The following is a 16,585-nucleotide window of genomic DNA, read 5'->3' on the forward strand; positions in this document are numbered from 1 at the left end:
CTGACTCCCAGGGTCTGGTCAGAGTTGCTGAGTGGGTTGATCTCTGGTCTTTCCTTGACAGTGCACGTTCGAAGGCTGTGGGAAACGCTTTTCACTGGACTTCAATTTGCGCACACATGTGCGAATCCATACCGGAGACAGGCCCTATGTGTGCCCCTTCGATGGTTGTAATAAGAAGTTTGCTCAGTCAACTAACCTGAAATCTCACATCTTAACACATGCTAAGGCCAAAAACAACCAGTGAAAAGAAGAGAGAAGACCCTTCTCGACCACGGGAAGCATCTTCCAGAAGTGTGATTGGGAATAAATATGCCTCTCCTTTGTATATTATTTCTAGGAAGAATTTTAAAAATGAATCCTACACACCTAAGGGACATGTTTTGATAAAGTAGTAAAAATTAAAAAAAAAAAACTTTACTAAGATGACATTGCTAAGATGCTCTATCTTGCTCTGTAATCTCGTTTCAAAAACACAGTGTTTTTGTAAAGTGTGGTCCCAACAGGAGGACAATTCATGAACTTCGCATCAAAAGACAATTCTTTATACAACAGTGCTAAAAATGGGACTTCTTTTCACATTCTTATAAATATGAAGCTCACCTGTTGCTTACAATTTTTTTAATTTTGTATTTTCCAAGTGTGCATATTGTACACTTTTTTGGGGATATGCTTAGTAATGCTACGTGTGATTTTTCTGGAGGTTGATAACTTTGCTTGCAGTAGATTTTCTTTAAAAGAATGGGCAGTTACATGCATACTTCAAAAGTATTTTCCTGTAAAAAAAAAAAAGTTATATAGGTTTTGTTTGCTATCTTAATTTTGGTTGTATTCTTTGATGTTAACACATTTTGTATAATTGTATCGTATAGCTGTATTGAATCATGTAGTATCAAATATTAGATGTGATTTAATAGTGTTAATCAATTTAAACCCATTTTAGTCACTTTTTTTTTCCAAAAAAATACTGCCAGATGCTGATGTTCAGTGTAATTTCTTTGCCTGTTCAGTTACAGAAAGTGGTGCTCAGTTGTAGAATGTATTGTACCTTTTAACACCTGATGTGTACATCCCATGTAACAGAAAGGGCAACAATAAAATAGCAATCCTAAAGCAAGAATATGGCAGAACAAGATCTGTAAGCACAGTCTTATTTTCTTTTGTTGTCCAGAATACTTATAATTCTTGAGCCTCCCAGAAATTGGAAGCTAAATAAAGCAACTCAAGTTTCCTTTATTTTGCACTCAATTACAGTGATTATTGATGAAAGCGATGCATGGATATTTTAATACTTCCTACATGTCCTGACTTCTGAAAGAGAGTAGGTAACAGGCATCCCGAGTTCAGGAACTACCTCAGAACACCCCAGGCCAGGTTGGTCATAGGCTGTGATTTTAGCCCCCGGCAAGTGTGAGTGAAGCATCTGTACCACCGCGCAGGCTGAGCGCCTGCGCAGGGTAAGGTGCCACCTGGCAGTGGGGCACACAGAGGGAAGACCAGGCCTGTCCATCAGCCGGCTGCCTTCAGAGGCAGCTCCAGCAGGACCTTGGCTTGTCTGACAGGAAATGCTTGTGGTCGTTGGTTATTTGGTTTGAGAGCCCTTGTTCCTCCATCTAGTGGAGTCCTTATTAAATGCTAGCAATGTGGCAATTGAGTGCCAGTAGCTTAATTTCATGTTTCTAAATGGACACTGGGTGCAAATCGGCAAGGTGATTAGATTATTAGAAAATTCTGCTCAATGAGTACCTCTCACATTGTAACCTCTTAAATGTACGATTATAATGTTGGATCTTAGGTCAAATAACAGACTTGAGAATACTTTATAAACTGCCATGATACAGCAAAATCTCATTTATTCAAAGTGCAAACATACTGTGTGTCTTTCTGTTTTGTGTATGCTTGACTGCAAGATAAATGACAAACTAGCTAATATCCGAGATTTATTTACAAATGGCCAGGGACCCCATCAGGTGAAACACATAGCCCATTGTCTTAGAGCTTCTCCATCGGTCCTGTACAGGAGGATTGGTGACCTACTAACAGTGACCCTGTGGCTCTGTGGAATTTTGAAGTGCCTTTTGTGAATCATGAATGAAACATTTAACTTGAGACCCTTTAAAAAATTCATCCAGAATCTGTTACCCCTTGGGTAGTTTGATGGAACTGAGTTAAGCAGAAGACCCCAGCTGTTTTCTGGGTAAGCCAGGCTTTGCTGTATCTGGCAGTCAGGAGAGAGGTCAGCCCATGGTGGAGGTCTTCAGTGCCGAGGGCTCGGATGAGAACGTGTAGTTCTTTGACTTGGACCTGGGCAGCGTCTTCTATGGATGCCTGCCTTGTGAGCACCCACACCTTCCCTCCCCACTGTCGGGTTGAGTAGCCCCAGCGTGGCTGTGTTAGGAGTCCTTTGCCCAACATTGTGCTGCACTGGAGCCTGGCCCTGGCACTGTCCTCAGGACCCTGCCCAAGGGCCCACCGCAGAGCACACCTATGCTATGGGGAGCCCTGCTGGCAGCCCCGAGAGCCATGCCATGGCCTGCAGGAGCCAGGCTCCTGTGTGGATGAAGTCCCTCTTCCTCTGTGCCTTGATCCCTTGGGGGTGCCTTTGGTCATCTCTTCTGTCCTTTCCTGTCTCTGAAATAGTCATCACTCCCCTTGACTCTCTCTGTTCACGTCTTCTCAGTCTGCAGAGTTAACTTCTGTAAGGAGTTTAATCTGGGGTTCCAAGAAAACAAGTTCCTTGTTAACATAGCACTGACTTTGCAACAATAGAAAACTAACAAATGAGCAACAATATAAAGAGTAGAGGTAGTTCTCATTGGGTGTAACTTCAACCCATTCTGCTTGTGGTTAGAATTTATAATTTTGCTAACGATGTAATTTACTAAGGTTTGAAATGGTATTCTAACAGTGAGTCCATTGTCTTGAGGATTAATCTGATTTATAAGTAATACTGATAGACATATTTTCGTACATCTGAGCAGAAATAAATGCATGTTTCTAGCATATGTAATATAAAAACTCCAGAGGATAAGTTTACACTTAACAAGATGTTGTTTTCTATTTTTGAATTTCTTATTATTTCCCCCTTTTTGGTAGTGGAGTTGAGAGGGGGAGCATACTATTTGTATAAAGAACTGTCACCCCAGAGTGACATTTATTTTCCAAGATGACCCTGAACTCATGCTGTTGGTTTCATATGGTGTTTGTGTGCTTTGCCTAGATTCAAGGCCTGAGGATTTGAGGAAAATCGGGATTTTTTTTTTCCTATTTGGTTTTCATGTAAAAGTTCTAAATGTCACTTATTTTGCTAAATAAGACCCTTTCACAGGATAGTGTGCGCAATACCTGTCCGTGTTTCCAAGCAGAGTTCAAGTTCATGTCTTCACAAGTAGATGAGAGTCACTTCCAGTCGGGGGAAGCCCGCCTGAGCAGTGTTTTGAGAGTGCGTACATTGGAGGACTGCCCCACGTCCGTTTGCACTCTGCCTTGCAAAACTTACTGTGGAGACGTGTCCCAGACTGGTCTCAGACCAGAGTTTGTGGCACAGGAAAACCTGGCCCCCTAAAAAGAAGTTTTGGAATTGGAAGCCTGATAATTTCGGGAGGCTGAGGCAGGAGAACGGCGTGAACCCGGGAGGCGGAGCTTGCAGTGAGCCGAGATCGCACCACTGCACTCCAGCCTGGGTGACAGAGCAAGACTCCGTCTCCCAAAAAAAAAAAAAAAAAAAAAAAAAAGGAAACCTGACAATTCTACCCACCTCCCCCCACCCCCGACTATAGGCAAAGAGAGTTGATCACTTCCAGGGTCTCTGACTTCTGTGACCTGGAAATCAGCCTGGCTTGGGAAATTCATGTTGTTGATCTTTAATTATTTAATTATTCTTTAATAATCCTTCTATTTTCTTGACATCTGACCCCCAGCAAGAGTAAGGATCCCAGAGGTCAAAACAGTGGTGAGAGCCAAGCTGCTCACAGACACCCACTTGATGCCACAGCCATGCCATGAGGCTTCCTCCCAGCTGCTCTGCTGGCTTGCTGAAGCCAGCTCTGAGTCACAGGGTTGCCTTGGACCCTCGGCTGTAGGGGGCACCTGTCTGGCTCCGGGCCCTTTGTCCTGGATACACTGACAGTAATGTGAGCGCAGCACTTCAGAGTTCAGGCCCAGCAGGTCCTGGCAAGTGCATTCCACCCGAACTTTTAACCCAAGCGGTGGGGAAGGAAGCCAAAACTCCAAGCTGCACTTTCTTGGGGTTCTGGCCATGCACTTCTTAGCCTTCTCTCTGACTTTACAGGACAAAAGGTACCCCACGCCTTCAGAATCATGCTTACCTGCACGGCAGCATCTGACTGGATGGCTGGCTAGGTCTCATCCACCCCAAATTACTGACCCTTGATTTATGTTGTTACTGCTCAGGTTATGCTCAGATGCCCTGGTTGCCTGAAGATGGTTTAAGTGCAGGCCCTTCAGACAAGTCACGTCAGGCAAGAGAGGGCTGGCCTCTGACCCACAAGAGGGCAGATTTGTGGCCAAGAGGCTTCCTGGCATCCACCCCCAGGCCCAAGGGATCAGTGTGGTGCCAGAGAGGATCTTTAAGCTGGGACTGTACTGAGGCTTGATGGGAAGTATGGGCAGCATGTACTTGACACGTTATCACCCAGTCCCCTTGTAAAATCTGGAATGGAGCGTTTAAGCTGAGCGTTAGCATCAGGTCAGCAGGCAAAGCAAACCTCCCACAAACTGGGTGCCGTAAGGTGGGAGGTGACACATGGAGAGCTTCGTCCTGGCCGAGCAGGCACCCAGCCCCATGTCCCCCGCCAGCATTCTGGATGTCAGAGGAGGGTGCGTGTGATGGCGTCACATTCATCTGAAGCACACTGATTGATTTTCCACAAGGTGGCAAGTTTGATCAAATTGACCGCTTTTCATGAGACACCCAGATGCTGTAAAAAAAAAAAACAGCACTGGGATGTGTTGAGGAGGGGGCAGTTTGCTGTGCTCTGTTCTGTCTGCTGCTCTCTCTGGGGGCCGCACAATGTCCGCACACATCACGGAGGGGAGAAAGGCATCAGTACCAAACGGAACAACCTCTTTTTTCTACATTGTCCATACCCGGACATGTGAGGCTCTATTATCAACAGGTGGTGAGAAAAATTATGTTTTTATTCGCTTTCTGGTAACTTCTGTAGGCCCTGGCTCAAGGACTTAGCATTTCGTCTCATGTACATCTTTTTCTTAAGTGTTCTTTGCCATTTCTGGAATTGTCCTTGGTTTTTCCTTAGCTCATAGGTCATAGATGCAGAAATATAGTATTTAAGGCATCCGCATCCAGCATCAGATGGCTTTGCATCCAGAAAAACATTGATAACTCAGTTTGAAGCACCAAGCATGTGTAATATGGCTCTATACAATATAATAAATGCATAATGTTAAGCTTTTTAATGCCTGTGGTTCTTGTTTGTTCCTCAGTCCTCTAAGCCACTTCTTTAGTGTTTCACTGCACATGAAACCAGGCCATGAGCCCTTCCTGGTCTAAGAGTTGCCTAAACTGCCCGGGGCAGTTCTTGCGGCTTGCTTTCTCACACACAGGACTGGGAACTCCCAGGATTTGGTCTCACACCAGCAAGAAATGCTTCTGTAACCTTTCAGCTCCAAGGTGGGCTCAGGAGCAAGAGGGCGTTTTAAAGAGAGCCTCACCCACTGTTCAGAAAGCACAGCCCAGTGAAATGCCCACGCAGCCGGACCTATGAGCCCATGTCAGCCCTGGAAGCTCCGGAGCTAACTGGGATGGACTCGGAAGAACTTGACCAAATACACTGAGAGCTACTTAGGATTTAGCCAAAAGCAAAATGCAGAGCAGAGCTTCCTCCCTCTGGTTGGGGCCTTGGTGTCTGATGTTCTGCAGAGCAAGGTTCAGAGTGAGGCGTGAAGTTCATTATTACTTGAATACATGTGACTTTCCCTTTTTGCTAGTGACAGAAGGGGCTGCTGACAGAATGCTACTGAGGTGGCAAGTCGCAGGCCTGTGCAAGCCCAGAACTGCTGAGTGAAGGCCCTAAGTAGGGCTGAGCTGAGCAAGACGGTGGAAAACCTGTAGATTTTACATGGGAAGGAACTAAAGCTTTGGAATTGCTTTTTTTTTTTTTTTTTTTAGATGGAGTATTGCTGTGTCTCCCAGGCTGGAGTGCAGTGGCGCGCAATCTCAGCTCACTGCAACCTCTGCCTCCCGGGTTCAAGCGGTTCTCCTGCCTCAGCTTCCTGAATAGCAGGAGGTTGTGTGTGCCACCATGCCCGGCTAATTTTGTATTTTTAGTAGAGATGGGGGTTTCACTATGTTGGCCAGGCTGGTGTTAAACTTCTGACCTCACAATCCACCCGCCTCGGCCTCCCAAAGTGCTGGGATTTCAGGCGTGAACCACCGTGCCTGGCCTGGAATTGCTTTCTTTAGAAACCCCTAGATACAGATGAAACCAGTATCTCTCCTTTATACTTGCCGGTGTCTCTGCCTGGCTATAATTTTTTATTTTATTTATTTATTTATTTTTTGGTAAGAGACAGGGTCTTGCTATCACCTAGGCCGGAGTGCAGTGGCACGACCATAGCTCACTGCTGCCTTGAATTCCTGGACTCCAGTGGTCCTCCTGCCTTGGCCTCCCGAGTAGCTACGATTACCGTGAGCCACCATGCGCAGCCCATAACATTTGTTGAGAACACATATGTACCCAGTGGCCTCCTCCAAACCACCCTTTGATGAATTAGCTAGCAATATCACCATGCTGTAAGAGAGGAACAGGCTCAGATTTATTTGCAAAGTCCAGGCAGCCAGAATTCAAAGCCCAAGCCTGCCTGGCTTCCAAGGTACTCTGCTTGCCACTGGCTCCTTAGCTTGAATTCTCCTCCAGTCCCCTTTCAAAAAAGCCCTGGCCCTTGTTTATGGAGCAGTGCATCGGCCTCCCTGGTGTGCGGCCCTTTCTGTTCTGGCGCAGTGGTGCCTCCTGGCCTTGGAAGGGTCCTCAGGGCTCCCCGACTGCCCGCCATTGTGACCGTTCCCCTCGGTCCTTGCTGACCTCCCCACACGGCCTTTCTGCTAACAGGGTCTCAGCACGTGATTTGAACTGCAGCGGTTCCCTACTTCCTACCGAAAAATCCAGTCCCGCCGACCCTCAGAGCCCAGTCCTGGCTTTATCTCATTTTTCAGCCTTTCCTAATGGATCACCTCTTGTCCTGTCCCTCCCCTCCCTCTTGGAGTTTTCGTTTCCAAAGCTTACCTCTCCACCTCCAGGGGCCCTGATTCGATCAATGCAATTATGTGCCAGGCCCTGTTTTAGGCAGGAATGGCATTGCCCTACTGGCACTGGCATGACATCTGGAGGAAGGAGGATAAGGCTGTGATAAATAGGGGCTAGGGGCCGGACGCGGTGGCTCATGCCTGTAATCCCAGCACTTCTGGAGGCCGAGGCGGGCAGATCACCTGAGGTCGGGAGTTTGAGACGAGCCTGACCAAAATGGAGAAACCTCCTCCCTACTAAAAATACAAAATTAGCCGGGCGTGGTGGCGCATGCCTCTAATCCCACCTACTCGGGAGGCTGAGGCAGGAGAATCGCTTGGACCTGGGAGGTGGAGGTTGCTGTGAGCCAAGATCGCGCCACTGCACTCTAGCCTGGCGACAGAGCGAGACTCCGTCTAAAAAAGCGGGGGGGGGCGGGGTAGCTAGGGAGGGAGAGGAGGCAAGGAGGCAGGACGGGGTCTGAGCACGCCCCTCAGGTGTTTGCATGGCTTCTTCTTGGCCTGCCACGTGCGTCTGTACCGGACCCTAGGAATATCCCGGGAGCTGGTGGCCAGCCCTAGCCCCTGCCCGCCTGGCCTTTGGCCAGCACTTAGCGCGGGCAGCCCTGCCCGCCCCCAGACCCTTCTGGGGACTTGGGCCGCGCCTTTGTCCCAGCCCTTCCCTGCCACCCTGCAGTGCTCCAGGGCCTGTCCCCCACGCTGCTCTGGCGGGCGGCCCCGGGGGCTTCTAGACCTGCGCCTGGGCCCCCACCCGCAGGGTGCGCCGCCGCCGCCGGCCGCAGGAGGGCACTGTGCCAGCGGGCCCCGGGGCTGGGCCGCGTCCGCTGTGGGGAGGGGCTGCGCGTGCGCAGCGCGGAGCGGCCCGGACCTCGCGGGGACCCGAGGCGCGGTGGGGGCTGTCCAGAATCCCTGAGTGTGGGGTCCCCGCGAGCCGCCGCCGCTTACGAGCGTCCCCCGCGCGGAGTGAGCCCAGGGCCACGGGGGCGCGGAGATTCAGAGCCCGAGAAACGCGGAAGGAGGCTGCGTGCACCCCACCTGCCCGAGGCCTCGGGCGGAGGAGACTCCCGCCGCCAGGGCCACAGGGACACGGGGCAGGGCGGTGCGGCGGCGACGCCCGAGGAGGGAGGGGCCACATACCAGGGGGCCCCAGCTAAGCAAGGCCCTGGGACGCCCCCCCTTCCCCCCGGTGGAGCAGCGCCCCCTGGAGGGCGGGGTGGGAGAGGCTGCGGTCCTGGGATTAGGGGGCGGGCCCGGGAAGCGGGGAGACAGGGCCTTGGGGTGCCGGCCCAAAGGGACGTCCTGGAGCCCTCCAAGCTGGGGATGCTTTTCCTCTCCCCACGGAGAGCTCCACCACGGGCGTGGCGGGGGCTCCTACCATCACCCTGCCTGTAGGTTCTGGAGCCACTCCGGCCGCCCCAGCCCCTCTCCAGCCCATCACCGCTTCACCCTCTGCCCCCAAGCGTGTTCTGGCCTCACAGTGTACATTCCGTCTTCCCTGGCCCGTCTCTGTATTGCCTGGCAAAACCCAACCTGGCCCTGTACTCAGCAGCCTCTGCTCTCACCCATTCATTCACTCATTCATTCAGCATGCTGACTTTGCACCCCTGGCCCTCATGGAGCTAAGGTAGAGGTTGGGGAGATAAACAAGAAACCGGCCAGTACTGTCACAACACCAAACAGAGCCCACCATGTTCCCCTGTGTCTGCTCTTTGTCCTGTGTCCTCACCATCCCCAAGGATATTCAAGCCAGATTTGAACTTACTCATTCACCCAAACTTTGTGGGACATCATTACAGCTGGCGTGGTGTTGGCTGGCCTGGCAGAGCATGGCTGGGGGGGGGGGTGTTGCTTGCAGAGGGGCGCTGGTGGGGGCGTCTGGCATTCCCCACGATCCTGGGGGAGGTCAAGTCGGAGGAGAGCAAGGCTGAGCAAGGAGCCCCTGGGGCACAGGCCCATTCCCCTCAGCCTCTGCCCTATCTCTGCTGTGCCCTGATCAAGGTGGACACTGGCCCCACCGCCTTTCCCAGTTCCCTGGGAAGTGGCCTCTGGACCCAGCAATGCATCTGCCTCTCCGTGGGTAGGTGGGTACCATGAGGTCAGGGGTGTGTAAGAAGCAGCAAGGAAGCTGAGACCCAGGAGCATGGGACCTGGACCCTTGCCCTGGCCAGGCCCCCTCTGGTTCTTGCATTGCCGCTCCAGGGTTGCCTGGCCCCAGCTGATCCTGCTGAAGGGCAAAGGATGGGCTGACTGGCTCCTGGCGCTGGCTTCAGCACCAACTAGCTGTGTGGCCTTGGACAGGGACCCTCCCCAACTGGTACCCTGCACTGCAAAATGGGGGTGCCAGCACCGACCTTGTATGGCTGTTGGGAGAATGAAGGGATGGGTGTGCATAGGGCTGAGCCATCCCTACAGTCACAAGAACCCACCCAGCACAAGGAGGGCTGGTGAAGGTCCCAGGTCAGTGTGGCCTCACGGGTGCTTTTTATAAGAAATGACTCACTAAAGGCCCAGGCCAATGATGAGAAGGGCACAAGGAGGCTTATGCTCCATTCACTCCATGCACCTGATGTCCAAAGGGATCAAAAGAAAAGGGAAGGGGAAGTCTGTGTGTGAAGCCAGTGTGGGCTCTGAGATTGGAAAAACAGTTTATCAGATTTGGACTCCCCAAACTGCCACTGCTTTGCCTGAACTCTGCACCAAGGACCTGAGCACCAGCCCTCACGGGGCCTGCCCCCTTCTCTCTGCCCTTCCACGCTTTAAGCCTCCCTCCCCCTTTCCCACCCCAGAGACAAATGCCTTGGCAGTGCCGTTTCATAGCCCTTTCCCTTAAGGGGTCAAGGAAGGAGCCATAAACTCCAGATCCCTGCGGAGTTCAGACTCTAGCTCCTGCCACATAGTTTCGCCTCCCTTGACTGCACCCTCAACACCTCCAAGGGCTTCTTCTGCCGTTTATTCCCCAGTGGTCTCGCCCACCTGCCACTGGAGCACCACCCCCCCCCTCCGAATTCCTGGCCTCAAGAGGTCCTCTGGCTTGGACTCCCTCATGGCCTCTGCCCCCCACCCTGGCCTGCCTCTTATTGCCTCCTAACCTCCTGTGGGGTCTTCAAAACATAAATTGGATCCTGTCACTCCCCTGGGTAAAACCTGCTCACAGCTGCTGATGCAACGAAATAAAGTCAGCTCTGCATGGCGGCTGGTGGTGCATTTGGCTGCAAATGACAGGAATAGTGTGCTGAATGAGAGGAGTGTGACCAGCCTTCCAAGGCCAGGCTGGCTCAGTGGCTCACGGCCGTGGTCTCTCCCACTGCACCTCCAGGCATCCTATTCCCTTTTCAGTGGGAAGCAGAGAGCTAGGTCAGAGACCAGAGGTCAAGGGGTGTGCCACAGTGTGTTTTACCTGTTTCACAGCTTTCTCAGAAGCTGTCAGACATATGGCCAGCTCCGGCCGCAAGACAGTCTGGGGGCCAGGCGCGGTGGCTCATGCCTGTAATCTCAGCATTTTGGGAGGCTGAGGCGGCGGATCACCTGAGGTCAGGAGTTTGAGACCATCCTGGCCAACGTGGTGAAACCCCATCTCTACTAAAAACACAAAAAATTAGCAGGGCATGGTTGCTGCGCCTATAATCCCAGCTTCTCAGGAGGCTGAGGCAGGAGAATCACTTGAACCTGGGAGGTGGAAGTTGCAGTGAGCCAAGATTGTGCCATTGCACTCCAGCCTGGGTGAAAAGAGTGAAACTCTATCTCAAAAAAAAAAAAAAAAAAAAAAAAGACAGTTTGGGAAGCTGTTTTGATTAGACATACTGAAGCCCAGATCAAGTTGAGATTTCAAGAGCAGTTGGCACTTAGGAGGATCTGCCACTGTCCCCAAGGCACTGCCATGTGACCCGCCCTGGTGGCCCTCTTGAACGTCTGGCCCTGCTGTCCTCCAGGCCCTGCCTCACCCCCCTCCCCAGCCCCCACCCACCCCTTCCACCTCGGGACCTTGGCTACATCTGCCCTTCCAGCTACAGCCTAGTGGTATCTGTGGCCCCGTCCGCTGCTGCTCTTCCTCTAGGACTCTGCTCAGACGTGTCCCCCAGTTACTCTCCCAAACCTGACTGGAAAAGCAAATCAAGCAAAGTTTATCCAATGAAATATGCCATGCAGCTGTCAGCAGGAAGGAGGACCATTCAAACACACCAATACAGAGCCCTGTTGAAGGTTGGATTGTGGCCCCAGAAAAATCCGTTCAAGTCCTAACTCCAGGCAACTGAATTTGGCCTGATTTGGAACCTGGTCTCTGCAGATGTTTTTAGTTAAGATGAGGTCATACTACAGTAGGGTGGGCCCTTAATCCCATATGACTGGTGCCCTTATACAAAGAGAAGACATGGAGACACAGACACACAGGAGAAGGCGGCAAGAGATGGTGGCAGCGATCGGAGCGATGCTCTTGTGAGCCTAGGGAGCCAAGGATTGCCAGCTGCCCCCAGAAGCTTGGAAGAAGCAGGGAACAGTTCGTCCCTCAGAGCCCCCAGAAGGAACCAACCCTGCCTGCAGCTGGAGTGTGGCCTTCAGAACTCTCAGAGGACACTTGGCTATTGTTTAGCCACAGTGTGTGGTGTTTTGTTACGGCAGCCCTAGGAGAAGGATGCAATCTCCAGGATCACTGTCAAGGGAAGACAGCAAAGAACAGAACAGTCAGGACCTCGGCCACACTTTGTAGGGGGTGCAGATGTCCCTCCGCTGCTCCATGCTGGCACTTGCCCAAGATGTGTTGGATGCCCTCTGGGAACTGGAGACTGTCCTCGACTCAGGAGGAGAGGCTGGCCCCTGGGAGGTGGAAGGAGGTTTTCCTCTTCACTGCACAAGCCTGGATTCTGGTAGTATTTTTAGTTTTTAGCACTTCATATATCACTTATTCCAAATCAATTGAAATCAGAGGCCGGGCGCAGTGGCTCACACCTGTAATCCCAGCACTTTGGGAGGCTGAGGCGGGTGGATCACTTGAGGTCAGGAGTTTGAGACCAGCCTGGTCAAGATGGTGAAACCCTGTCTCTAATAAAAATAGAAACATTTGCCAGGTGTGGTGGTGCACGCCTGTAATCCCAGTTACTTGGAGGCTGAGGCAGAAGAATCACTTGAACCCGGGAGGTAGAGGTTGCAGTGAGCTGAAAGAGCACCACTGCACTCCAGCCTGGGCAACAGAGCAAGACTCAAAAAAAAAAAAAAAAAAAAGTTCAAATCAGGGAGAAAAGAAAATGTAAAATAAATTCATTAAAAACAACAACTCTACTCCCTGCCTGGCAGATGTGTTGGTCATGTGAGGCCGCTGAACTGGGAAGTGGGAGGGAGCTAGAAGCCCCCCGCCCCTTCACCTTGCTCCTTGCCGCACCACTCCTCACTTCTGAAGGGCTGGCCTGTCTGTGTGCTGTCCCCAGAGGGCAGGCAGCCGCAGGGTTCGTGGAGAAGCCCCAGGGTGAGCAGGGCTCAAATTAGTTCCTGACAAGGGTCACGTTGGGGCCTTTCTAGAGAGTGCAGATGTGTGGAGAGATCCAGGGTGATGGGGACCACAGCCACAGGCCACACTCAAGCTGCCCTGAGAGATTCAGCCACCCAGGCCTAGAGAGGCAAAGGGGCTGCCAAAGCTGGACATGGAGGAGCTAGGGAAGGGGCCCCTCTCTGTGCCCATGGCCAGGGTGTTTCCCCCATCCCTGGGAGCTTCCCCTGGTTTATTTCAGAGTAAAGAGAAGCGAGAGAGGCCAGGAGACCCCAGGGGTCAACAGCCAGCTTCCTCCCCGCCTCCTGCCTCCCTGTAAAGCCCAACTTCCCAGGCTAGCACTAGGGTTAAACAGGCACAGGAACTGGGGCCCCTCCCCGACTCCCCCTTGTCAGTGGGCAGAGCTTCTTGGCTCAGCACTTGGGAGGGAAAGCCTCCAGGGCTGGTGGCTGCAGAGGCTCAGGATGCCAAGGGCTGACTCCAGGAGGCTGAACAGAACTGCAGGTGAGGTGGGCAGTGAGACCCCCACACCACACCTTTGGCAAAGCTCCAGGATGCCCTCTTCCAGGAAGCCCTCTCTGACCTCCTAGTTTGGGTTAAGTACAGTTGTGCCCAAGTTGCCCGGGTGGCTGAAATGGTCAGCTCCACTCAGACCTCCCCTCTTCCAGGAAGCTGTTTTTGGGACACACCCTGCCCCTGCTGCCCCGCCCGCCAGTGCCCCTCACCACAGGCCTCTCTCTCTCATTGCTGGGATGATGATAGCAGAGGGGCATCTGCTGAATGGCCAGGCTGCACCAGCGTGTTCACGCCCTTCATTAGCTTGCCTTGCAGATGAGAAAACAGGCTCTCAGATGTATCCGCAACTGCCCAGGTCACATGGCCAAGGCTGCTGTCAGGGTCCAAGGGCACACGCACCCCTGAGCTGGCCCCTTCGACTCCAGGGCAAGGGTGCTGAATGAAGCCCTTTCCTCCACCATATGCAAAGGCAGCCTCGCCACTTAAAAAACAAAGAACACTTTATTCCCTTGACAGTTTCTGTACAGCGACACCAGGCTGTGCAAAGCCCAGTGTCGTCTTCACTGAGCACATTCCCCAGGACGCCTGGTGCAGCCCTCCTCTGCCCCAGGCCCCAACTAGCCACCCCTGTGCCCACTAGCAGGCCCTGTGCCTTCACAGGGATGAAGCCCTGGCACTGAGAATGCCTGGGAGGCACCGTTTGCTGGGGAGCAGAGGGACTGACCTTTGGCTTCTTTGTGGCTGGAGGTGTTCCAGGCCTGGTGAGGGGGTCCCATACTGTTCTCTGCTGAGCCCTCTGCACACTTTGGGGGATCCTGGCTGGCGGTGGTAGGTGGGCCGGAGACTCAGTTGTCCGTCAGCTGGCCATGTCCCCATTTTATGGACAGGCAGCCTGAGGCCCAGAGGCGGAAGGATTTCTCCTTGCCACAGCTGCATCACACTTGAACTGTCCAGACCTCCACCGCTGGCCTGTTTGCTCCCCACCCTAGTCCCGCAGGCTGATATGGTGCCTCCAGCAGACTCCATGGCTTCCCGGAGGGTGCAGGGTCCCCAGTTCACCCTCCAGCAGGAGTGGCAGCAGCTGGGGTACCCCTAGCAGTGGCATGTGGAGAAGCTGGGGTATGCAGAGGATCCAGTTCTGTGACACCAGGAGGCACACCAAGTTTTCCTCTGTCCCTAACACAGACCAGAGGGGTGGCCCACCACCCCCCCGGGTGGAGGATGTGTGGAGTTAGAGGTCCCTGGGTGGCCCCTTGGTTGGCCATCAGAGACCCCCGGGAGCCAGCCTGCAGGGCAGGAGCACAATGACGTGGCCAGGATCCCAGAAAGGGGCTGGAGTGTCTGCCTCAGTTTCCAGGATAACGGTGCAATGGCCTCAGCCAGGCCAGGTGCTGGCTGCTGCTGGGAATAATCTCTGAGCTTCGTGACTCTACAGTGTGGGCATGAGGGTCCTTATTTCATAGATGAGAACACTGAGGCAAGTGCAGTTCTCGGCCAAAACTACCCAGCTGATCAGCAAAATTCAGCCCACGTCTGATAGACTCCACAGCTCGCAGCATCCCAGCAGGAAGCAGGGCAATCGACTCAGGGGCCAATTTATGTCCCAGGTTTCTGAGAAGGAGCCCTGGGGAAGGAGGGCGGGGTGAGCGTCACAGGCTGGAGGGCTGCGCCAGGGCAGGCCCCGCAGGGGCGGCGGGCACAGCCTCGCCCTCGGGCCCGGCCTCCTCGCCGCGCGCGTAGGTGAGCACCACCGTGACGGTGGCGAAGGTGGCAGCGTTGACGGGGAAGGCGCGCAGCAGCGTGGACGCCAGCCCCCGTGTGAAGACGCGCCAGCCCTCGGCGCGGTAGCTCTGGTGCACGCAGTCCAGGATGCCGCGGTAGCGCGGGGCGCCCCGCAGTCCGTCCGCCTGCAGCCGCGACTTGACCACGTCCACAGGATAGGTAGAGAGCCAGGACACGATGCCTGACGTACCGCCCGCCAACAGCAGCTTGGGCACCAGCAGGCGGTCGCCCGGCTCGCAGCCCAGCGCCCGCGTGAGAGCGTCATAGGTGAGGAAGTAGACGCCGAAGCTGGGCGTCTCACGCAGCAACGTGGACACCATGCCCCGGTTGACGCCACGCAGACCCTCGTGCCCGTAGATCTGCGCGAGGCAGTCCAGCGAGCCCTTGTAGGTGCGCGCTGGGCCCGCGTCCTGCAGCTGCAGCCGCGTCTTGGCCAGCTCCATGGGGCAGCAGATGACGCACTGGATGGCGCCCGCCGCCGCACCTGCCAGGAACTGGTTGAGGGGCGAGTCGTGGCCCAGGGCCCGGAGGGTGTTGCCCTGCACCCCGAACACCAGCGCGTTGATGAAGGTGAGCCCCATGAGCGGCGAGCCCAGGCCCTTGTACAGGCCCAGCACCTGCGGGGACAGAGACGCCATCAGAGCCGGCAACGCGCACCTCCCGGGCCCTCCACGCGGAAGGGGGTCGGGGGATGGCAGCCCCAGCCCACCCCAGGGGCTCCTGAGGACCAAGCAGAATTTCGTTAGAACCTAGGTCCTGACTGGCCTCCTGGTCGTCCTGACACCTTCCTTCCTGGCTCTCTGGTCTGGGGTGGTGGCAGCCCGGAAGCTAGTTCCCCATCCTGTGCCTCCCGAGCCCCACCAGCCCAGGCCACTCACGCTCTCTTGCTTGATGATGGACTTGAAGCAGTGCAACGTCCCGCGGTACTGAGGCTTCTCCACGCTCTGGACCTGAAGCCGTACCTGGAAGGAGAGGGTCCAGTGAGAGGCAGGCAGGCAGGACCAGAGCACCCAGCTCCCGGGTCTGGTGCTTAGGCTGCCTAGGAGGGTCTCCCAAGGAGGCCGGGCACTCAGGCACAGTCTAAGACTTTTGTAATTCCAGGGCAGGGTGGGCCGGGTATCTATGCCTTCTCAGGATGGGGTGCCAGTAGGCAAACAGCTAAAGGGACAGGCTGCTGGAGACAGGGTAGGGGGTCCCCAAGATCTCAGACCAATTCAGGTTAAGCCTCTTGTTTACACTATGGCTGCACAGTGCACTGCCAGTGGGGCATGAACGACCTCCTGAGACTGGCCCGTTCTCCAGGTGATGCTTGTCATACTGCTGAGTGAGCGGCCCATGTCCCAGACTAGGCTGAAGGGCCCCTGCCCTAATGTCCCATCAGAGACTGGCTTCGAGGCAATAGGCGCAAAAAGTGATGAGCCTGGCCAGGTGCAGTGGCTCACGCCTGTAATCCCAACACTTTGGGAGGCTGAGGTGGGTGGATCACTTGAGGTCAGGAGTTCAAGACCAGCCTGGCCAACGTGGCG

At 54.0% G+C, this 16,585-nt stretch overlaps 2 protein-coding genes and 1 non-coding gene across 31 annotated transcripts in view, besides 3 other annotated features; 2 read left to right on the top strand and 1 right to left on the bottom strand.

The window, feature by feature from the left end:
- MIR6764 (microRNA 6764) lies at positions 1-61 on the top strand. The gene has a single exon (NR_106822.1). It is a non-coding gene; the product is annotated as a microRNA 6764 (primary transcript).
- Positions 1-5,432, top strand: part of YY1 (YY1 transcription factor) — a 43,645-nt gene extending 38,213 nt beyond the window's left edge. The window contains exon 5 of the mRNA NM_003403.5: positions 62-5,432. Coding sequence (NP_003394.1) covers positions 62-244 — 183 coding nt within the window. The 3' untranslated portion in view covers positions 245-5,432. The remainder of the gene's footprint in view (positions 1-61) is intronic.
- Positions 977-1,957: an enhancer, noted in NCBI's record as "H3K4me1 hESC enhancer chr14:100744670-100745650 (GRCh37/hg19 assembly coordinates)". NCBI's record gives its function as "activates a minimal SCP1, AML or CMV promoter by ChIP-STARR-seq in primed H9 embryonic stem cells {active_cell/tissue: H9 hESC(primed)}" and the evidence as "EXISTENCE:reporter gene assay evidence [ECO:0000049][PMID:30033119]".
- Positions 1,211-16,585, bottom strand: part of SLC25A29 (solute carrier family 25 member 29) — a 27,878-nt gene continuing 12,503 nt past the window's right edge. For 25 of the 29 annotated variants that reach the window (NM_152333.4, NM_001039355.3, NM_001291814.2 and 22 more), the window contains 2 exons: positions 15,938-16,021; positions 13,760-15,676 (listed from right to left, as the gene is read on the bottom strand). In NM_152333.4, the coding sequence (NP_689546.1) occupies positions 14,927-15,640 (714 nt within the window). In that variant the 5' untranslated portion in view covers positions 15,641-15,676; positions 15,938-16,021 and the 3' untranslated portion in view covers positions 13,760-14,926. Of the gene's footprint in view, positions 2,710-9,044; positions 9,176-10,371; positions 10,492-13,759; positions 15,677-15,937; positions 16,022-16,585 lie in introns of those variants that run through there. The other 4 variants (XR_007063984.1, XR_007063981.1, XR_007063982.1 and 1 more) reach the window with 3 other exon arrangements.
- Positions 7,823-7,932: a silencer, noted in NCBI's record as "silent region_6084". NCBI's record gives its function as "represses an Ori minimal core promoter by ATAC-STARR-seq in GM12878 lymphoblastoid cells {active_cell/tissue: GM12878}" and the evidence as "EXISTENCE:reporter gene assay evidence [ECO:0000049][PMID:35858748]".
- Positions 7,963-8,722: a silencer, noted in NCBI's record as "silent region_6085". NCBI's record gives its function as "represses an Ori minimal core promoter by ATAC-STARR-seq in GM12878 lymphoblastoid cells {active_cell/tissue: GM12878}" and the evidence as "EXISTENCE:reporter gene assay evidence [ECO:0000049][PMID:35858748]".

The sequence above is a fragment of the Homo sapiens genome, chromosome 14 (genome assembly GCF_000001405.40).
Source record: "Homo sapiens chromosome 14, GRCh38.p14 Primary Assembly".
Taxonomy (NCBI): Eukaryota; Metazoa; Chordata; class Mammalia; order Primates; family Hominidae; genus Homo; species Homo sapiens.